Source organism: Homo sapiens, chromosome 14 (genome assembly GCF_000001405.40).
Source record: "Homo sapiens chromosome 14, GRCh38.p14 Primary Assembly".
In the NCBI taxonomy this organism is placed as follows: domain Eukaryota; kingdom Metazoa; phylum Chordata; class Mammalia; order Primates; family Hominidae; genus Homo; species Homo sapiens.
Window position 1 is genome coordinate 69,775,355 of NC_000014.9, and position 23,384 is coordinate 69,798,738.

The 23,384-nt window shown below is 43.7% G+C and overlaps 1 protein-coding gene across 1 annotated transcript, besides 1 other annotated feature; it reads right to left on the reverse strand.

Annotated features, from left to right (window-relative positions):
- Positions 1 to 61: 61 nt before the first annotated feature.
- SLC10A1 (solute carrier family 10 member 1) lies at positions 62 to 21,887 on the reverse strand. The gene is made up of 5 exons (NM_003049.4): positions 21,446 to 21,887; positions 10,743 to 10,953; positions 3,828 to 4,006; positions 2,979 to 3,175; positions 62 to 1,034 (listed from the first exon to the last, which is right to left on the reverse strand). The coding sequence occupies exons 1-5, from the start codon at positions 21,799 to 21,801 to the stop codon at positions 928 to 930; spliced, it is 1,050 nt and encodes a 349-aa protein (NP_003040.1). The 5' UTR covers positions 21,802 to 21,887; the 3' UTR covers positions 62 to 927.
- Positions 17,658 to 17,952: an enhancer, noted in NCBI's record as "tiled region #10266; HepG2 Activating DNase matched - State 5:Enh". NCBI's record gives its function as "activates a minimal TATA promoter and a strong SV40 promoter by Sharpr-MPRA in HepG2 cells {active_cell/tissue: HepG2}" and the evidence as "EXISTENCE:reporter gene assay evidence [ECO:0000049][PMID:27701403]".
- Positions 21,888 to 23,384: the final 1,497 nt, after the last annotated feature.

Sequence of the window (23,384 nt, forward strand, 5' to 3'; positions counted from 1 at the left end):
ATTGACTTTTTGTAATTGTTAATATTAGTTGTTAATCATTTACTTGATCCTTATTTACATATGATATGCAAAATGTTTAAATTTTATTAGAGACAATTTGAAATTTGTGAATTCTAGGTATTTGAACATTTTTCTTTGAATTGGGAAACGACTCATTTTGGCAGTAGTTTGCTGTACCCAGTTTTGGGGGCGCCTTGTGTTAAAACCAAATACCTACTGAACTTAAAAAAGAGATTATTAGTGAGGTAACATTGTGTTAATGTATGTGTTTGTTTCCTGGTTTTTCCTTGTCAAAAGTTTTCCTCCTCTACTAACATGATGCATTCGCCCAGTTTTTTCATTTCATTAGCTATTTTTTGAGTTTGTTTTGCCTGATTGCATCTTACTGTGTTCACTTTTGCATACTTGATGTCAAATTTGACTTTTCGGGAGCATCATCCCAATAATGTCAAAAGGGAAGGAATAGGATCTGAACTTTTTAGGTTAGAACTTCTGAAGTTTAATTCTACAGCACTTGTGAGCATTTATTTCTCTTTTGGGTCACAAAACTTGGAATGGGATTTGGGTATTTGAGTAATGGGTTAAACATATATATTGATTAGTTCAGGAATTGAGTGACTTTAAGATGCTTATCAGACACTTTTAGAGATCCCAGCAAGAGGCAGATTCGGTTTCTGGTTTCATAGAGTTTACAGTCACTGAACAAGTCTTTAAAATAAGTAGCAAATTCTAAGTTGGGGATAGGTGAGGCTTCTTGGGTAGACACCCTGTCTGTGTTCCCGGCCAAGACTTGATGATTCTGATAGATGTACTGGAAATGCTGGAGAAAGACTCAGGCAAGACTGGTGTTTTTGCTGCTCTCTCTAGTTTACCACACTGGCTTTCAGAATTGCTTTGGGACCAGAATCCAGGCCACCAGGGGAAGGGCTAGGCTGTGCAAGGGGAGCAGTCCTCCCCTTTGTAGGTGCCATTTCCCAGAGCTCCTGGAATTGTTTCTTCAGTTGTGGCAGCTGTGTAGATCATTTTTGTTTTATCTGTAAAGTTAAAAAGGGTTACAGGTGTAGAGAGAGAACAAGAGGAGTGAACAATGAAGCTTGTTTAATCTGGAAAGTACAAAAATACCAACTCAGCCCTAGAGTGTGCTAAGTATATATTTTCCATCTCTGTCGTCTCTCCCATGGTTTACTCTTTAAACTCACTTTCCCCTCAGTCTCCCTAATGGTAGTACTAGTAGTAAAAGTCCTAATGAATTAGACTATTGTGTCTTCATCATCACTTCACTTCTAACTTCGTTATACAGTAAAACAACAGGAGATGAGTTTATGTATGCAAGGTCTGTGTTGCATTCAGGGAATGAGGAGGCAGGCAGGAAAGATCTTCGAGAAAGTCTAACCAAGAGAGTTTCCAGTTCTTCCCTCCAACCCCCAATTGATCTACCTCTTCTTGTCCGTGGTGTAGGCGGTGATGCAAATTTGAAGATAGCTTTGATTCCTGCACCTTTCTATACAGATGGGAGAGTTCTCTATACAGAGTTGTTCTCCCATCAGGTGCAGGAATGAAAAGTATAAAAACTTGACAGATTCCTCCCCCCTGAGAATAGCTTCTTGGGGCCATTAGGTCCAAAGAAATACGTTGCTTTGATTTAGTGTTTCCACTGGGGTCTTCTGAGATACACTGTGAGGAAAGTTCTTTTCAAGTCTTGAGAGCTAAAGATCCATAGAGTATTGTCCTTTGAGGTCACTTCAGGTCTTTCTGGTACTAAAACCTCAAATCTGGGAATTTGGTTGGTCTAGAAACTTCTGTGCACTTTTTGTAAGAGGGCAGCAAATCTCTTGCGTTCCTCTCAGATAAGCATCAGAGTAGATTCTTTCTCACAACTCTACTGTAGCTTTGAACCAAAGCTTCTAAAATGGTTCTAGTGTATGGTCAGCCTGTACTTGTTTCGTGTTGGCTGCTTGGCAACCTAATTACATCTTAGCTAATTGCAAAGGGAGAGAGAATCGGCATTTGCTTGCTAGTATAATGTAACAAATTCCAATAGGGAAAGTTGTGTATTTCTCCTAGGGTGTAAATCACAGTCCCTAGGGTCTAGAAAGGTTTTGAAGGGGACTTCAATTCATGGACATGAAGGGACAGTTGAAGGATTTGGGTAGGTACTTAGGAAGAATATACTAATGTTGAGAGTTATAATGAAATGTGTTATAAAGTGGGTTTGAATGTCCTGTTTTTTTTTTTTTTTTTTTTTTTTTTTAAAATTGGTGTTAAAGTGCACTTTGAGGAAGGCACTCTGTTCTCTGGTCTGTCTTGAGGTTCAATTTTATTTTGAAAGGTAATACTCTGAGCATTTTAGAGAAGAGATGCTATGTTAACCCCATAGTGATCAGAGTAAAGTATAAATCATATTAAGTTTATTGTGGAGGTAGTTACTGTTTAACAACCGTATGCTTAAGTTTCCTTTACTGCGTAACTAGAGTTGAGGAATCTTTTTTTTTTTTCTTTATTCTGGGTTATATTAGGGTGCATTGCTTTCATATGTTTTTCCTCATACGGAGGTGCCAGTGGTGCTGTGGCTCTGATCTGGTTCCAGGAAATGAGAACCTAGTCCTGAGAAATGGAAACTTCCCCAACTCTTGCGAATAGAGGCCTTTCACACAACTAATAACCTCAGTTGTCCAAGGCAGTTTTGTCCTATGATGTCTCCCCACTGAGACAAAGCAGCCCAAATTGCTTCAGTTTTATGAGGTAAACTGCATCTGCAATTTCATTCTCCCAGCTAGAAGGAAGAAATGGAGTGCAGTTGATGGAAGTAGTCTTGGATCTTTAATGCTTCTTGGGTGCTTCTTGGGGCTACCTGGTTCTTAGTGACTTGATAAGAGTTAAAGCCCTATCCAAAAAGTCCCTGCTAGAAACTTGCTTGTTGGCAGGCTCAGGTCTAATATTGGAGCAGAACTTGAAGTGGGGATAATTTCAGTACTCACCCTTGGGAGTCTTGAATTTCTCATAGCACCAAAATATGGCAATGAGGAGAAGCCCTTCTCCAAGCTGGAAAATCATGTAGAGGAGGGGAAAGAAGAAAAGTGGTCCAATGACTTCAGGTGGAAAGGCCACATTGAGGATGGTGGAACAGAGTTGGACATTTTGGCATCCAGTCTCCATGCTGACAGTGCGTCTGCACCTGTGCCGGTGAAGAAAACCCCACATACACTCAGAGGGAACTGGAGGGAGCAACTTTGTCCCAGTGCTGCTACCAAAGAGTTTCGCAGCAGATGGAATCTAGACCCTGGACAGGGGTACTTTGCTATTGCTGCTGGTGTTTGGATACCTTTGGTGTCTGGATTTTTAACCCGTTCAATACCTTCATTCAATTTTTTTCAAGTCTAAAGTCTCTTGTCCAGTTAGTGCATCTGAACATATTGCCAGGAAAGTGTCTTGCCCAGATTTCAGGTTCCTAGCTTCTTATTCGTTTCCTGAAAGACTAGGACAAGAATGAAGCCCATGGGACAGTGGGACCTAAAATAATACCTATCTCCAGGCATGCAGTGGCTCACACCTGTAATCCTAGCACTTTGGAAGGCTGAGGCAGGTGGATCACTTGAGCTCATTAGTTCAAAACTAGCCTGGGCAACATGGTAAAACCCTGTCTCCAGAAAAGTTAAATCAGCTGGTCATGGTGGCTTGTGCCTATAGTCCCAGTTACTTGGGGGGCTGAGGCAGGAGGATCAGTTAAACCCTGGAGGTTGAGGCTGCAGTGAGCTGAGAATGTGCTACTCCCCTCCAGCCTGGGCAACAGAGTGAGACCCTTTCTTAAAAAAAAAAAAAATACCTACCGTCCATTGAGGCAGAAGAGAGCAGAGAGAACATAACCCAGCAGAAAGCCAATAAAAGGCATCAGGGAGGAGGTGGCAATCAAGAGTGGTGTCATGGCAAACATGATGCTCTTCCCCACATTGATGGCAGAGAGAACTGTGACGGCCACACTGCACAAGAGAATGATGATCATCCCTCCCTGGGAATGAAGACAAGAAAAGGCAATTAGAAGAGTTGGGGATAGAGAGGAACAGAGGTGGGGAAGCACAGGTAGAAATTGGAGGTGGGAAACATTGCAATAAAACACTGGAAGTGGAAAGGAATATGAAAGACCTTTATCTTCTTTTTGGATTCCTTTCTTTAAATTTTTTTAAAATTATTAACATTAGAGACAGGGTCTTACTATGTTGCCCAGGCTGGTCTTACTCCTGGACTCTTAGCGGTCCTCCTGCCTTGGCCTTCCAAAGTGCTGGGATTACAGGTGTGAGCCACTGCACCCAGCCCATCTTTTTAGATTTCGTATCAGTAGCTAGGAAGCTTGGGGACAGCTGATTAACACTTTGATTATTACAAACTCAGCCAAGCACAGTTACTGCTTTTGACACATCTCTGGATAGCAGACTTTCAGTGAAGTGTTACGTGAGGCTATTCAGGACTCCTGCAAAATGGATATTATTTAAAAGTCAAGTATTTTTGGAACTTATATACACATTCCTACAATACTGTCATTGTTCCACATACTTTGAAACTCATGAGAACTTGTCATACATATTTGTCTCAAATACCTTGATTACAGATAGGGATTTTATCCATTTTAGGATCAATTCTGGAAATTGCCAAGAGTCATTTGAAACAAAGCTGGTAAACAAGGTGGATGATCAAGCCCGGAAATACGGTTTTAAACCCAAAATGATGTCTAATAATAAGGGGACAAACCTACTTTCTTGAGTGACCTGCAAATTGAATATGAAGGAAGTTCCCAAAAGAACTTTCAGAAATATCTTGGGTGATAACAACATCATTGGAAACTATGCAGGTCTACTCTGAATGAAATTATAGGGTTTTTCATTGTGCAACATAGGATGCAACCTTTCAAAGTGCATGTGCACTCCATGCACTTTGTACTTTCCAGTGTGCATTTTAGAGAATTGCGTCCTCCAAAATGATAAACAGGTATGTGTAAATTTAAGACTGTCCCTTTTATCTCCTGAGTAAAGAAATACTTAACTTTTCTCAAACTTACCATGTTATTTTGTAATAGTTACATGTGTTGGTTCATTTTTTGGTTCATTCACATGTGTTGCATTTTATATTTCCTAGTAACATTTTAAAAAAGTAAAATATGTATAGCAAAGTTTGCCATTTTAATCACTTTTGAGTGTACAGTTCAGTGGCATTAAGTACATTCATAATGTCCTAACGACATTTTAACATTTATATTGCTCAAATTTCAGCTGCACAGCTTTGTGTTTCTGTTTTTAATACTTGTTGCAACTGATATGATCATATAAAACATCACCTATACCAATTAGTGGTCCTATCCCAGCATAGGAAGGACTTTCACACATCTCTTGAATAACCATGTGCTTCAAGTTTTATTAAAAGACTTATTAGCTAATGAACTTCTCAGTTTACCTTTGCATTTTTAGTTGATTTCCCCTTTTAGATTTCTGTCTTTCGAATTTGTCCTTTACCCAACAGTCAAATAATTTTTAATCTCTATCAAGAGTGGAGTGGATAATGTAGGAGACATTGAGTTACAGGAATTGTCCACGAATCCAGAAGCCCTCTTCTTCTGTATAGGCATTCACTCTTATTCTCTCACTCATGTTCTCTGACTCTTGGGGACTGCACAGTTGTGGTTATGAGCACATAATTTGATATGATCCTGGTGGGAAAGCTGCCTCTGCTAGTCTCCAGGTGTGTAAGCTCTGGGGAGTCACTCAACCTGAGTGAGGTTGACGGCATAGGACCTGGCATATAAGAACCGCTCACTAAACTGTAACTCCTGTTATTACTCAAAGGGGAGGAATTAACATTCTAGAGGTTCCTGTCACTCTCACTGCTGCCATCTCTGGAAATTTATCCTGTCTACAACCCCTGTCTCCTGCTGAGACAAGTGGCCCCGGGTAGTTGCTTCTCCATAGGCTACCACATTTTGTACCACCTGACTTCATTGCCCTGCTCACAACTGGGATGAGTGCTCATTCATGGGCAGCCAATCCATTGGCTTACACATGAGATGACATGTCCACAGTCTACCCACAAAGGTGGCCCGCACAGGCTGGTGAGTGGTAGAAATAATCAGATTCTCTCATTTAGGAAGTTTGCAGGATTACAGAGAGGGAAGCAATAGCAGGGACAAGTGTCAGAACAGAGGTCTGGGAGCAATAGCCACAAGTTGGCAGAAGTTGTAAGACAAAGGAGAGTTAGGGGTCAGTTCAGCAGTAGCAGCAGGTGTGGGAAATGCATGAGTAGAGTGTTGAGTCAATGAAATGGTGGGATCCTTATTAAAGAGTGGTGGATGGCTTATGGTGAAAGTGGCTCCTGGACCATGTCATTCTCAGATTCATCACCCTTTTAGCCACATAGCCTTTGGATAAACCCTTGCATGGGTAAGTTAAAAATTACTTGAATTGCCTTTTAAAATGAGCATGCCTGAAATTGTATCTTGGTATATCTAAATGTGACCTTCCACCAGCGAATGCAACTGGTTGAACCCGGTGTGAGCAGATACCTGCTGCCAGAGCTAGTTATTGAAAGTTGGGTTATTTTGATTTGCAAGGTCCAAGGAGGGTTATGTGTGCGTAAGAGGCTAGGACAATCATTTGTTCGTTTTCCAGTTTGGCACTCACTATATTATTTATGGGACAGGGTGACGAAGGATGAGCATAGTCCTCGAAGAGCCATAGAAGCAAGGAAACCTTAGCTTTTGCAGCTTGACCCACATGTTAGTCTCTGCATCCTCACAGGAGTGATTCCAGTTTTGGAATATAGGAAGATCAGTGTAGCTGTTGACTTTGTGGTGGTTTAACCCTGGAGGTTTAGCCAGGGGCAAAATGGGTCCAGGGCATGCCTGGGTTTTTTAGATTACCTTTTATGTAGTCCCTTATTACTAGTCTCTGTTTTTCCAGCCAAGGTATTTCTTAGCCCTTTTAATGTTCTCTGGCTTCATTTTGACTTCATTTCGTCTGTGGCATTGAGTAGTGAATGTGCAACACAACAGGAACAGACTGGTTGAAATAATCCTGGCTCTGCCAAGTAACTTTTCCGGGCCTCGGTTACTCTATCTGCAAATTGGGAATAAGGCAGGAGACTGAACTTCATCTTAAAGGCTTCTCCAGCTTTAAGATCTGAGATTCTCGGCAAGGTGTGGTGGCTCACGCCTGTAATCCCAGCACTTCGGGAGGCCAAGGCGGGGAGATCACAAGGTCGGGAGATCGGGACCATCCTGGCTAACACGGTGAAACCCCGTCTTTACTAAAAAATACAAAAAATTATCCGGGTATGGTGGCGGGCGCCTGTAGTCCCAGCTACTCAGGAGGCTGAGGCAGGAGAATGGTGTGAACTCGGGAGGTGGAGCTTGCAGTGAGCCGAGCTCGCGCCACTGCACTCCAACCTGGGCGACAGAGTGAGACTCCGTCTCGAAAAAAAAAAAAAAAAAGGGTCTGAGATTCTGCTTTTTGCAACCTCAGAGAAACACTTTTAAAGCTACTCTGAGGTAGAAAAGAGACATGTTCTCACATCAGTTGTCATTAGCACTATGACTTGGTATTCTGTTTCCCAGTTTTCCCACCTATAAAATGGAGGAGGGCAGAGTAGCATTAAATGATAGCAGTGGTCACTTCACATTTTAATATTCTTTATATTTTATATGCATTTCTTTAAGATCGTTTATGGGTGTATAGGATTTTTTAAAAAAGCAATCTTATGCACCCCACAAACTATCTTAAAAAAATGAAATGATGCACACAAACATGTTTCTCTGTGTATGTTGTTTTTCTGCTGGTGTGTGGAAGAGCAGCAGACAGGACTTGCCCTTCATTCCTTTATTTATTCTCAGGCATTAGCTATGGGGGCACTGTGATAGGTGCTGTGGATTCAGTGTTAATTAAGACAGCCTTATGGTCTTGCTTCTTGATAAATGAGTGGGGAATAAAAATGAACAGATGTTCTTAATGCAGTGTAATAATTGCTACAGGGGTTAGCTGGAGTGTTGGGTGTTATGGGAGTGAATAGGACAAGCATCTTACTCAGGCTTAGGAGGTTAAGGAAGGCTTCCTGGGGGAGGCGCTATTTGTGTTGAGACTTAAAGGATGAGTGGGAGTGATCCAGTGAAAGATGGTGAGTGGGGTGAGAATTGGGAAGAAGAGTGTTCCAGGTGAAGAGAAGGGCACGTGCAAAGAGAAAAGAGCTGAGACTGGTGAGGTCAGTTGAAACCAAATCAAGAAGTGCCACATTAAGGAGTTTAAACTATCCTAGGGGGAAGGAGTCAATGAGAGGCTTTAAGCAGTGGAGTGACATGATAGAGTTTGTACTTCACATCTTCACCCTCAGGTTAGAACTGGGTGAGGAGGTTGGATGAGAAGGCCATTTGAGTTGTCTAGTGAGAGGTAAGGATAGAGAGGAATGAATGGATTCCAGCAACAGAAGGTGGAATCGACAGTCATTGATTAGATGGGTGTGAGTGGTGAGGGAGAAGGGAACATTGAGAATGACTTCCAGTTTCTGGTTGGGGCAACTGGGCACACACACAGTGCCACCGACTGAGATAACCACATGGGGAGGAGATGACTTTAACATATATTGAGTTTTAAATGTCTGAGGTATATTCAGATAGAAAGACCTGGTAGATAATAAATGGATTCTGGAGTGAGGATAGAGTTGACATCTGATGATGCTGTTCTGGAAGTCTCGGTTTGCAGATGGTAATTGCAGACCTGAGAGGGACCAGATCCTGTGCTGGGAGAGGTCTGGTGAGAAAGGCAGAAAGCTTGGTCTGAATGCAGAGAAGTGCCTTTGACCAGAGGAACTCATAAGGGAGTCTGAAGGTCATGAGAGGTAGGAGGAAAGCAGCAGAGCTTAGAGTCACTAAAGCTGACAGAGAAGGCTTTTGAGGAGGCAGTGGTCAATTATGTCCAATGCTGCTAGAAGGTCAAGGAAGGATTGAGAAATGTCCATTGGATTTGGCAAAGAAAGTGGAGCAGGTGGTCATCAAGATGCTGGGTGGATGGGAGACCAAGGAGAGAAGAGAGGGATTCAAATAATGGAAACGAATTGCTGAGGGCCTGGTCACTCATGAGAGAGCTCTGGCGGTGGCATGGGGGAAATGGAAGGTGTTTGAGAGGAAGCGATTGACAGAGAGAGAGAGGAGTGAGGGGGACTACTCCTAAAACCTGGCTAGGAAGGAGAGCAAAGGGAGATATTAGGTGGAATGGGAGGTGGATTCCACAAAAAATCCCAGTGAGAGACACTTTTTGTTTTGTTTTTTGAAGATAGAAGATATGTGAGTTCGTATCAAAGCTGATTGTGAAGAACCAATACAGAGATATTTTAGAAATGAGAGAGAGGGGAGGCTGCTGGGCCAGGGGCATAATCAATAAAAGGAGGTCTCTTGAGTACAAGGGTAGAGAGAATGATTGCAATCCAGGGCTGAGGTGGGGTGACTGGCCACAGAAAGGAGGAGGGATGATTCCTCCATGTCCTCCAGCAGGCGGGAAGGGGAGCTGTGGCCATGGCACTGGGACAGGACAAGGGCAAAAACTACTCTTGAGACAATGGTAGTGTGAAAATAAAACCCCCCTGAAAACTGGACTCTTGACTTCTTTGTTCCAGGCCCAAAGCTGCTGCCAAACTTTGGGGTTCTCAGCAGCACGCCTTGCAGACCAGGCCAGAGGCATTGATCCAGGGGCAGAGATGGTACAGGAGGTCAGGAGGTCAAGTCCTTCCTGAGGACCAGGATGACCTCCTGGCCCTGGGGGATGAATAGTGAGCCAAGGGGGAGGCTGGCAGGGACCAAACTCCAAGGTTGAAAATATTGGTGGAGAGACCATAGCTGCACTCTAGGAGTTCTGCACACAAAGCAGTGGCATGATGCCCTGTCTGTGACCACAGTGCTTCTCAAAACCTTTGTGGCCTTAATTCACTCCACTTCCCACCCCATCCCTCTCTTGAAATGCTGGGAATGGGTACACTACCTGTCTCCTCTAGCTTCTTGCCACATCAGCCAAATTTGCCCTTAGTGCCTGCTGAACTCTATTCAGGCTTCTCCCCAGGTTTACCTAAATGCCTCAAGCCCTTCCTTTTTAATAAGGCTCTTTGACCACTCCAGCCCTCACTGTTCCCATCTCCTTGCCTTCTGCAAATACTTGCGTGTACACTGGAATTGGATCTTGTTTCTCTCGTGTGTTACTTCATTTTCTTTCTTTTCTTTTTTTTTTTTTTTTCGTTTTAGAGATGGAGTCTTGCTCTGTGGCCCAGGCGGGAGTGCAGTGGCGCGATCTCGGCTCACTGCAACCCCTGCCCTCCCTGGTTCAAGCGATTCTGCTGCCTCAGCCTCCTGAGTAGCTGGGATTGCAGGCACTCGCTACCATGCCCGGCTAATTTTTTTTTTTTTTTTGTATTTTTAATGGAGACGGGGTTTCGTCATGTTGGTCAGGCTGGTCTCAAACTTCTGACCTCAAGTGATCCACCCGCCTCAACTTCCCAAAGTGTTGGGATTATAAGCGTGAGCCACCACGCCAGCCTCATGTGTTACTTCACTTTCTGCAAATATCAAACTCTGGTGACAGTGAATCCTTAGAGTGCATAGCATAAAACTTAGCATCTAGTAGGAGCATATGTATGTTTATTATTAATATAATGATTATATCTTATAGTTGTATATGGTGTTTTTACTCTTTTGCCCTAATTTGTCAAGCCTCCCAGGTTCTTACCTTGATGACATAGCGCATGTATTGTGGCCGTTTGGATTTGAGGACGATCCCTATGGTGCAAGGAATGAGAACCAGGACCAGTGATATCACGATGCCTTTATAGGGCACCTTGTCCTTCAGGTCCCCATCATAGATCCCCCTGGAGTAGATGTACAGGAGGAGAGGCATCATGCCAAGGGCACAGAAGGTGGAGCAGGTGGTCATCACAATGCTGGTGGGAGACATGGGAAGAGGGGAGAGAGAGAGAGCCCATAAATACAGACTATTTTGTTGAGTGCCTGCTAAGTGCCACTGTGCTAAGTGCTTGACATATGTGGCTTCAGTTCCTTTTCCCCATAACATTAGGCAGTAAGCATACTATCTTCTTTTCGCTGACAAGGAAGCTGGGGACTAGAAGAGTTGTGTCCTGCTCAAAGTCGCACAAGGTAGTAAGTGGCCAAGGCAGCATTTGAACTTAGGGTGGTTCAACTGCTTCAATCCCTGTGTGCTTCATTGTGGAAGGAGCCATTCTGATCTCCTTCTCTGTAATGGAACCCTTTTCGCATTGAGCACCTCCCCCATGCCAAGCCCATTTTGTAGAAAGCCAACTGTGTGATTCCATTACTCTGGTCATTAGCCCATTGGACCATGGAATGGCACCTGACCCACAGTTACTAAATGTCTGGTTTAGAGCCTAGGGAATGGCTTCTTGTAGTGACTTTGTCCAACGGAGACAATAACAATTAGCTATATCAGCACATTTTACCTCGTGGGGAGTCTGAGTGTGAGACACAGTGACAGGACACTTGGTCTTTGGGGATGGGTGGCATGGGAGTGATGCTCAGGCAGAAGTCAAAAACCCTACTAGAAAAATCAATAAACAGATACCATGATTAAAAGGACTGTAAAAGAAATAGTGAAGCAGTAAGAAACAGAATAATTGAAGGGCCATAATGGTGGGGTAGTAGAGAAGGCAGTAATAGATACCCATGTTGAGTAAGTGACAAGATAACCTGGTCAGATTTGCTTTGCATCTTGGATAGTATTCCAGTCCCCAACTCTGGTGTTCTCATGTTCTTTACTTTCTGGTTCCTCTTGATATTATTTAAAATAAATTATGACACTCAGAGCCTGAATAATATGTCCTTCCAGCTCTAATATGTATCCTACTTGTCCAATTTCCTTTTCCATTTGGAATCTTATATATGTTAGTCCCAGGACCCTGTCTAGGGAGAGGCCCTCCAGAAAGGTCAACTGAGAAGGAAGCTGATAGGGCATCTCCTTAGATTTATGGACATTTACATTAACAATATATGGCTCTGACTTTTATTCCAGTGGGAAGATGGTTGGGAGGTGAGGGCTTGGCAAGATCTTAGGAAAACCACACTCAGTGTGTCCCTCCTCCTCCCCACAGCCCTACCCTCCATCTACACTTCTTTCATTATTTCTATAAAGATGGAATATGGCTTAAATATGCATGAAGAGCAGCCTATATCAAAGGTTCCAGAGCGTAGCCATCAAGAACAATAGGTAGGCATGTCATAAGGATAAGAGCTGTTAGAGGTGAGAAGAGTCCCTCAAAGAAAATTGTGAACTAGGTAATAGGAACTCCCCCACCCCCGTGAACACTTAAATACACACTTGAGCTTGTAAGAAATTAACACTCAATTTAAGTGTGGCATAGTGGCTCATGCCTATAATTCCAGCATTTAGGGAGGCCGAGGAGGGAGGATTGCTTGAAGCCAGGAGTTTGAGACCAGCCTGGGCAACAAAGTAAGACCCCTGTCTCTACACACAAACAAATGAACAAACAAACCAAAAACCACACACAAAAATTAGCCAGGTGTGGTGGTGTGCACCAGGAGTCCCAGCTACTTGGGAGGCTGAGGCAGGAGGATGGCTTGAGCCCAGAAGGTTGAGGTTACAGTGAGCTATGTTAGCGCCACTCCACTAAAAAAAAAGGTGCCCACGGACAAGAAACAAATGCAAAGTAGTGGGGGAACTCAAGCTGAAGCTTCATAGAGGGGTTCTGGAGGGGAGTGGGGTGTTAGTCTTGGCACTGTGGAGGCTTTAATGCCCAAGGAAGGGACCAGAATTGAGGTATTAGACCTGGGATGGGAGGAGCATTGAAACTGAGCAACCAATAAAAGGATCATGGGATGAGGGGAGGGGAACTTTCTAATTATATCATCAAATATGAAATCATGGTGGAAACAGTATTTAGAATATAAAAATAATAAAATACATATTTAAAAAACATGGAGAGGGGACTTTGGATTAGGCAATGGTTTCTTAGACATCTAAAGCACGAACAGCCAAAGAAAAAGGCAAGTCAGACTTCATTAATATTAAAAACTTGTGATTCAAAGGACACCATCAAGAAAGTGAAAAGCCAACAAGAGAATGGGAGGAAATATTTGCAAGTCATATATCTGATAAGGGTCTAATATTCAGAATATATATGAAGAACTCTTTTTTTTTTTTTTTGAGATGGAGTCTTGCTCTGTCGCCCAGGCTGGAGTGCAGTGGCGCAGTCTCGGCTCACTGCAAGCTCCGCCTCCTGGGTTCACGCTATTCTTCTGTCTCAGCCTCCCGAGTAGCTGGGACTACAGGCGCCTGCCACCACGCCCGGCTAATTTTTTTTGTATTTTTAGTAGAGATGGGGTTTCACCGTGTTAGCCAGGATAGTCTCGATCTCCTGACCTCGTGATCCACCCGCCTGGGCCTCCCAAAGTGCTGGGATTACAGGCGTGAGCCACCGCGCCCGGCCAATATATGAAGAACTCTTATAATGCAATAATAAAAAACAAGTAAAAAATGGGCCAAGGATTTGAATGAGATATTTTCCCAAAGAAGATATACAAATGGCTAATGAGCACATGAAAAGATGCTCAACATCATTACTTATTAGGAAAATGCAAATCAAAACCACTTTGAGATACCACTTTATATCTACTAGCATGGCTATAATTAAAAAGCTGGACAATAACAAGTGTTGGAGGGTATATGGAAAATTAGGAATCCTCATACACTGGTGGTGGGAAGTAAAATGGTGCTTTGGAAAATAGTTTGGCAGTTTCTAGAAAATTTAAACACAGAGTCACCATATAACCCAGCAATTCTACTCTTAGGTATATATCCCAAGGGAACAGAAAGCATGTTCACACAAAAACTTGCCTGTGAGCTTCCATAGACATTATTCATACTAGGGAACAAGTAGAAACAACCCATGTGTCCATCAGCTGAATGAATGGATGAGCAAAATGTATTATATCCATACAATGGGATATTATTCAATTACAAAAACAAATGAAGTATTGTGACATGCTATCACATGAATGAACCTTGAAAATATGCTAAGTGAAAGAAGTATAGATACAAAAGGTCACATATTGAATGCTTCCATTTATGTGAAATCCATAGAGACAGAAAGATTAGTGGTTGTCAAGGGTTGGAGCAGGAGAGAGAAATGGGGACTCCTGCTAAATGGGATGGAGTTCCTTTTTGGGGTATTGAAAATGTTCTGAAATTAGATAATGGTGATAGGTTCACAGGCTTGGAATTATGCTAAAAACCAAGGCATCGTACAATTTAAAGAATGGATTTTATGGTATGTGAATTATATCTCAATAAATAGTAATTAAAAACCATGCAGGGAGCAAATAAAGCAATTATTAAAGGGCAATTTATAGCCTAACATATTTATATTGAAAAAGAAGATTAAAAATTAATGAGTTAAGCACCTTAAGAGGTTAGAATGAGAAAAACCCAATAAAAAGAAAAGGAAGAAATTTTTTAAGTTTTGTAAATTGTTAGAATCAGTAAAACCAAAAATAGGGTTTTTTTTTTTTCTTTTTTTTTTTAAAGGCCAATTAAATAGGCACCTCTGGCAAGGCAGACCAGGGAAAAGAGAGATGGCACAAATTGATGAGGTTAGTGTGAAAAAGGGAACATAACTACAGAGAAAATGAAGATTTTAAAAAGTCATTAAGGACATTTTCATACTTTCATTTTTAACTTAAATGGACAATTTCATGGGAAATATAACCTACAAAACCAAGTCAATATGAAGCCGAAAACCTGATTCAACTTAGAATCATTTAAGACATTTAATAAGCAGTTCAAAACCTATCTTCTAGAACCCTACATGATTTATACTGTCTTACGGTAGTGTTCTACTAAACATGCAAAGTGCAGATTGTTGCAATATTATGCAAATCTGTCCAGATAATATAAAAAGGGGAAACATGCCCTAATTTATTGTATAAAGTTAATATGATCTTGGAACGAAAGCTGGAGAATGATATTACGAGAAAAGAAAATTGGGGACCACTCTTATTTATGAACATAGAAACAAAAATAATAAAATATTAGCAAATAAGTGTTTTAAAAAATACAATGAACAAGATGAGTAAGAATGATTTAACATTAGATAATCTATTAATACATATTACTATATTATTAAAGAAATGGTACAATTTTGTAGCTATAGAAAAGTCAACAAAATTTAATGTTCTTACATAATAAAAATTTAGTACACTAGCAACGGAATGAAAATTCCTTAACTTGAAAGGAAATCTATTAGAAAAAGTATATTAAACGTTAAACTTAATGGTAAATAGAGGGATTTTCTTTAACAAGAGGAATAAAGCAAAGATAGTCATTATTATTACCTGTTTTATAAATTATACTATATATAGGCCCTAGTAAGCACAGCAAAACAAGAAATAGAAAAAGTATAGGGATGGGAAAAGAAGAAATGAAACTTTCTTGTTTTGCCAATGATAGGATTGTCCACAGAAGAAATCTAAGTAATTTTCCATTATAACTGGTAAGTAAGAAAATGTATGAGGTTCTAAATACATTAGCATCAGTCAGTCAATCAATTGGGTCTGATATACTAGAAACAAATATATATATATTTTAAAAGACACCATTTATGATATTCACAAAACTAGAAAATACTTATACATCTAAAGGACATGTAAGATCTTTATGAAAGAAATTACAAACCTTTATAGAAAGGTATTAAAAAAGGCCTAAGTAAAAGAAAAGCTATATCATATTTATAGATGGGAAGATTCAATATTATAAAGATAGTCTCTCAATTTATATATAAATGTAATGCACATTTAATAAAACTTCCAGACTTATAATTTTTTTTGTAGACTTGAAAGGTGATACTGAAACTCAAGTGAAAGAGTAAAAGGCTAAGAATAGCTAACATGATTTTTTTTTTTTTTGAGACAGAGTCTCGCTCTGTCACCCAGGTTGGAGTGCAGTGGTGTGATCTTGGCTCACTGCAAGCTCTGCCTCCCGGGTTCACGCCATTCTCCTGCCTCAGCCTCTCAAGTAGCTGGGACTACAGGCGCCCGCCACCACGCCCAGCTAATTTTTTGTATTTTTAGGAGAGACGGGGTTTCACCGTGTTAGCCAGGATGGTTTCGATCTCCTGACCTCGTGATCGGCCAGCCTTGACCTCCCAAAGTGCTGGGATTACAGGCGTGAGCCACTGTGCCCGGCCCATGATTTTCAAGAACAAAGTAGGGGGACTTAACTTTCAGATAACAAAACTTATAAAATTGTAATTAAGAAAGTGTGGAACTGGTACAAGGGTAGCCACATAGACCCGTAGAAGAGAAGAGAGATCCAGACACAAGCCCTGCATTTATGAGAGAGATGTCATTACAAATACCTGGAGAAAAATTCACTCAACGTGGCTTGGAATCTTCTATTTGTATGGAAAAGATAAAATTAGTTCATGCCATACATAAAAATAAGTTCTACATTGATTGGAGCTCTCCATGTGAAAATCAAACATTTAAAACTTTTCAAAGAAAATACAGGGTAATATCTTTGTAACTTTGTAGACAGTAAATTTTTTTTTTTTTTTTGAGACAGGGTGTTGCTCTGTCGCCCAGGCTGGAGTGCAGTGGCATGATTTTGGCTCACTGCAACCTCTGCCTCCTGGGTTCAAGTGATTCTCATGCCTCAGCCTCCTGAGTAGCTGGGATTACAGGTGCACATCACCATGCCCAGCTAATTTTTTTGTATTTTTTAGTAGAGACGGGGTTTTGCCATGTTGGACAGGCTTGTAGATAGTAAAAGATTTCTTAAAGAAACCCCTAAAAAACATAAACCACAAAGGAAAAATATTGGCAAATTTGACTAAATTAACATAAGCAATCTATCAGACATTATTATCAAAGTGTAAAGACCAGCTCCAAACTGTGAATAGACTGTTGCAACATATATAAAACAATAACTTTAGAAATTAATTTTCAAAACCCACCCAAACCACAATCCCATAGAAAAACAGGCAAAGGACCCAATGTTTCCAGAAGAGGACACATGAATGGCCAACGCACACGTGGAAATGTGGTAGGCCTCCCATGAAATCAAATTTAAAACTACTGCGATCTGCTTCACTGTTTTCATTTGGAAAAAATTAAAAAGTCTGACAATTCCAAATATAGATGAAGGCACAGAGAAACAGGGATCTTCAGACACTGCTAGGGAACGTGTGAAGTGAACAATGACCTTGGAGACCTCTTAAAGATGTGTGACTCCCACGACCCAGCAGTCCTGCTTCAATTGCATATGCCCTCATGTGGGCAGAGGGACACACACAAGTCTGTTCACAGAAGCGAGACGTAAAATCCACATGAATCTGACAACAGGAGAATGGATAAATGCAAGCAAACTGCACAGCAGTTCAGATACATGAGGTAGCTATTTTCTTTACATGCCTATTTCTCAAAAAAAAAAAAAAAAAGCAAGCTGTTAGGTGATGTGGACAGTATAATACTGTTCGTACAAAATTAAAAGACGTAAATCCCGCAGTCTATCTTGTTTATGAATATATACGTATATAATAGTTGAAAAGGGTCGGTGGAAATGCTGAACACCAAATTCCCAGGGATGCTCCCTTTGGCAAGTGGTGGAGGGTAATGAGATTGGGAATAGGAATACAGGGGGTTTCAATGCTACTGTTGATCTTCTCTTAGGGAAAAGCCAAACACAACTTGTGTGTTTGTTCTGGTGACCTAGAGCAGAGGAATCATGCTTACTTTGGCTTGTGTGTCAGGAGTTTTGGAGTTTGGACTTGGTGTGCCTTGTCAGCTTGGGTATGCAGGAGCCATGTTCCCTGATCCCCAGGTACTTCCTCCACTTGCACAGGTCCTGGGGTCAGGTCAGGGACATCCATCTCCTAGCCTGCTGGCATCCGTGACTGTTGTGATCCTTGGTTTACCCCAAGGGACAGGGACGGGCAAGGACTTTTTCAGACTCTAGATTCCTGAGATTGTAGGCCTGGTTGCCTTTCAGGGGGAAAGGGGCACATTTGTTTTTTTTATTTTTCCCTCCTGCTTAAGTTCCAAGAGCACAGCATAGACCTTGCTTTTGGACATCTGTGTACCCCATTTAAGGGACTCGTTCGAGTGTCCGTCAATGCACAGATTGGAGGCAGAAGCTGAGGGAGCTGTGAGGGGCCTCAACACAGTCTCTATGAAGTGGAAAACTTCTGGGACCCCAGTGGCTTCCATCTTGTCCTGGTTGAGCTTCCTACATCATGGCTGGGAGACCTGTGGAAGTGCTTGGGTTGTGTCCAAGCCCATTGTCCCCATGGCCATTGGCTCTGGGCTCTGCTGTGAGTCCGATGGTGGCAGGGGGAGCAGATGAACTTGGGGCAGCAAGGATGGTCAAAAGAGGCCAGTTCCTGCTGGCATAGCACTCTCTTCTCTGTGCCTGACAAGCCATACTCACTTCAACTGTGAGGGCGTTTTCTCTTGCCTGTTTGTCACCTACATTTTTTGAAACTTGTCTAGTGGCCTTCCTTGAGGAGGGAGCTGCCGTCCCTGGCTGCATTGAGGGGTCTGCTTGGTGGCCTGGCCTCCTGGGATGGCAGGCTGTCCCCAGACTGACTCCACCTATGAGGCAGAGTGAGTGGAGGGAGACACAGTTTCCCACAAACTCTGGGAAACCTCTGGCAAGTCTCTGACCTCAGCCTCTTCATGTGTAAAATGGGATCTGTGTCTTACAATTCCTTCCAGTTCTAAATGGGATGTAGAGTATTGTGCTTATCTCAAACTGGGGCCTTTGGGCTACAGCTGGCCCTTTGACATGTATTGTTTGGTTTGCACATTTAAAAAAATGGAATGAGTTGCTGATTTCACATAAAATGGATATTTTACCTTCTTTTGAAAAGTGGGAAGCTCTGGCTCCCACACAATACTTGCTGCTGAGACACGGGTGTCTGCCCATGCCTTTGAGGCTGTCTGGCCATTTTGTTTGTGGAAATGCTGACCTGGAAGATATTTCAGTAAAAGCACAGGTTCCGGAGCCACCCAGACCTGGAGCCAATGTATTGACCTCTCTAAGATTCAGTTTCCTTACCTCTAAATGCTACTTGTTACATGCTGTCCCCCAGGGTGCTGTAGGAGGATCACATATACTTATCCAGGTAAGGTGTTTAGCACTGTGCCTGGCTGTTTCTTATAATCGTTGTCATTATTATAATGCATGTAACAAGTTGTCCCAAATTGGAATGGGATTTGAAGTCTGGCAGCACATGAAGGTAGATGACCAGATTCCCATTCCGACAGTGGGATCTGAGACATGGTTTAATGTGCATGGGAGGGTTGTTTGTTGGGAAGGAGTTTTATGGCAGAAGGTGGCTGTCCCAGCAGAGCTTATCTCTTGTGGGGGTCTAGGTAAAAATGACAGTCATCAGGGGTCTGGACAAGGAGGTTGAGCAGGAGAGCATGAGGGGTCATGTTCTTGAGTCACCAGAGGCTCTGCCTGGGTGGGGCCTAGAGCCACAGCAATGTAGGCATTGTGGCAGAGGCCTCAATAGTGGCCACTGGCGATGGGGCTGGGACATCTGGCCACTCACACTTAAAAGCACAGTTGCCTTCCACGTCCCCTGCTCTGCTTCTTCCACAGAAACACAAAGCCCTCAGAGTACCCCTTCGCAGGCCCCTGACTTCTGCATCCCTCATACACCAAAATTCAGATATACTCTAGGATTCTTGGGACACACAGGCTGCCATGAGCCTTGTCCAGAAGCCAGATCCAAGACCAAGGGCTTGCTTTGTAGCAGAGAGGATGTGGATTAGACAGAGGAAAGCATTTTCTCACAGTGAGGTAGTTGAACATTGAAATACCTTTCCGTGGGTGATGGCACAAGCCAAATGCCCTCTTTGTGCCTCTCTTCCCATTGACTACTAAAGTGAGGGCTGAATCATATGGAAAAAGAGCCCAGAGCTTCTCAGATGGCAGATCCTGTTAAACCCCAACTCTCATTCACTCTCACTTTTTTATTTCCTTTTTTTTTTTTTTTTTGAGAGAGAGACAGGGTCTCACTCTGTTGCCCAGGCTGGAGTGCAGTGGTGTGATCATGACTCACTGTAGCCTTGAACTCGTAGGCTCAAAGATCCTCTCATCTCAGCCTCCCAAGTAGCTGGGACTACAGGCATGTGCCACTATGCCTGGCTAATTAAATATATATGTATATATTTGTAGACACAGGGTTTTGCTATGTTGCCCAGGTTGGTCTTAAACTCCTGGTCTCAAGTGATCTTCCTGCCTTGGCCTCCCAAAGTGCTGGGATTATAGGTGTGAGCCACCGTGCCCAGCCATTCTCACTTTTTTCATTTAAAAAATCTGTCCCAGTGTCATTTTGCATCACTAGGAGGGGCTTCTTGACTGGGTTAGTTTTCCTAGGAAAGTTTGGCTAGGAGTAGGGTGCTGACAGACACAAGCAGATGGACTTTCTGGGTTCTGCTGCTATACCTGGCATTGAATAGCGTCTCCACGGAGGACTAAACCAGGGGGGACTGGCTTGAGACTGAGGTTTCACTGAAAGCAAGAGCTTCTGCTAGTGAGTTTTCTTTAGCTTCAGCACAGGCTGCTGGAGCTGGAGCAGGTCTGAAGTAGCTCCTCTGGCAGATGTTCAAGACTAGAGTCTCCCCAGTTTGGAAGGATGAGCATCAACCAGCCCCTGTGTGCTGCGTCTCCAGGAGCGAGCCCTTGCTGATTTCTGCTTATAATGCTTTGGGCAGGGGGTTAGGGGGTGCTGCTGTCTTCCCCTTATCAGGGTGGCTGAGATGGGGCTGGCCTATCTGGAGTGGGTGCTGGGAAACTCTAGGATCTCCCTGGTTGTGCCTTTGCATGGAAATGTCATTGCATCTGATGGGGAATGAGGGACTTTAAAGAGAAAACATCTTAGATGACCAGGTAATTGGGAGGACCTTTTGGAAATTCTTGCCCGCTTTGCAGGAATTTGAGGTGCTCATTTGGTTCCAAGTCACCTTGATCTCCCTGATGATGTTTGGAACGAATCACACTACCTTTTAAATCTCTGGGCTCAAAGCAGGCAACTTGTCCACTGTTGTAGGTGGATGCAGTTCTCCAGAGGTTCCTTTGGCTTTAATCAGTGCTCCTTTAAGACAATCCTTGAGACACCTCTGGAAGCAAGGAGATCACCACGAGCTTCCTGGACCAGTATGGTCCCTTTGGCTTGGTGCCTAAACCAGACGTACCCCAACTCCTGCCCCCATCCCAGCATAAGCTCTTGGCAATAAATGCCAGACTTCCCCTGCCCTAGCCTCCACCCAGCCTGCATTCACTCCTTTTCCTGGCTTTAGCCCAGCTCTTCCCCTCAATTGTGACATATCTAATGTAGCTCCTGTCCCAGGCTGTTCCCTCCTCACCCCCAGGCCTACCTGAGGTTCATGTCCCCCTTCATGGCCAGACTGAAGACATTGGACAGGTTCCCTCCAGGTGAGCAGCCACAGACCAAGATGGCCAGTGCCTCAATGTTCTTCAGCCGGAAGACCTTGCCCAGCACAAAGGCCGTGAGGGGCATGATGCCATACTGTGCCACCAGGGCGATGGCCAGCCCTTTAGGCTTCCATAAGTGAGCCTTGATCTTGCTGAACTCCATGGTGCAGCCCAGCGAGAGCATGATGAAGAACAACATGAACACCAGGATGACGCTCAGTGCCAGGTCTGTGGGGCGCTTGCCAAAGTTGGGTGGCAGGGTGAAGTTGAATGGGGCAGACGCGTTGTGGGCCTCCATCCTCCTGTGAGGCAGTGGAAGACCACTCCTTGTTCTCCGGCTGACTCCGTTTCTTGTGCAGTTCTTGCTGGATGCCTTCTTTAATCACCTCTCAGGACAGAGAGTTTCTGGACAAAAGCTCTGGGCAAATAGAAGGGTTATGCAACTATCTGAGCTATTTCTCTGGCTGTCGCCCCAAAGAGGAACAGCCCAGAACCTTATCTGCCTGCCCTAGCTCTCCCAAGCTCCCTGACCTCTGCTGGATTCCTGGGTGCTACTTGTACTCCTCCCTTGTCACTTTGCTGCTTCTGGGCTTATTTCTCCCCTTTGCCCTCCACTGAGTGTGCCTCATGGGCATTCATTCAGTTACTGGGGACCTGCCCAGGGCCCACCTGAATCTAGGTCCAGCCCATCTCCTTCCCTGCAGCTCCTTTTCCCAGCTCCGCTCTTGATTCCTTAGTTTCTTGGTTGGGGGAAGGTGCCCTCCCCATGTCCAGTGGGTTATCATTTGTCCCCAGAACCCATGAGAGTGAAAGGAGCTGGGTGTTGCCTTTGGTTCCTAGATACAGGTAGCATAGTCCAAGGGGGTGTGGGACAGGCAATGTCACTGGCCTCCAGGAGGGGATGTGTCCATGACCCTTTTCCTGGGAGCTGAGAGGATGCCAGTATCCTCCCTGCCTGTTCTGGGGAAATGTTTGTTTTATCCCCAAACTGGGACTGTATGAGTCCCAGGGAGGAATACTGGTGGTGGCTGCTCCACACTACCTGGAATGCTTACCATCAGAGGGAATAACCAGCTGGGATGGTGGGTGGGCTCTCAGGAAGCTTGGAGGCTCTTTCCCCGAAAAGCAACCTGAGAGAACCCTGGCTGTGGAGATTGCTTTGTGCCCGAGGAGGCCCATTGCTTGCAAAACTTGCTGAGAAGGAAGCAGGAATGCAGTCTTTTCTTCCTGACTTCCTGATTGCTTTACTTTTGCACTGGGCCTGTGTGTTTCAGGCTGGGAGCCAGGCTTGGGGCGTGGAGCAGAAGCAGAGAGAGGTGGGCATGCCAGGGGCGGGGCCACCTAGTGTGTGAGGTTATCCTAGGCCTTGCTCTTTCCATCTATCCCCACTGCAGAGGTGGGACAAGGGAGGAGGGGTCTCCTTCAGAAACACAATTGCTTCTTGGCTTGGTTGGAACCTAGGAGGCCTGGGTGGGGTCTGAAACAGGTGATTAGGCTTTGTATGTAGGACTCCAGAGGGCAGAATAGGGACCAGGGTGTGAACCACTGTTGGGTGGAGGTGGGGACAGATTTTGGCTTGGTGCAAGGAACCACCTGAAAATGAGAGCTCTCCAAGAATGGCCTTGAGGCCTCTGGAATCCTGCTTGGATAAGGGTTGGATGGCAGGATCCATACATATTGCATCATATCCATGAAAAGGCTGCTCCCTGGGCTTGCGCGGTGGGCAGCCTGCGGGGCCGTATACTGTGGCCCTGGGTGACATGAACTTGAAGCCTCTTTTCCTTTGAGAGTCTCTGCTAATGATTTCCTGGTGCTTGAGTTGGGCTGGTATCAAAGGGAGGGCAGGCAGAGGACTGGGCACTGGATGTGATGCCTGGACTG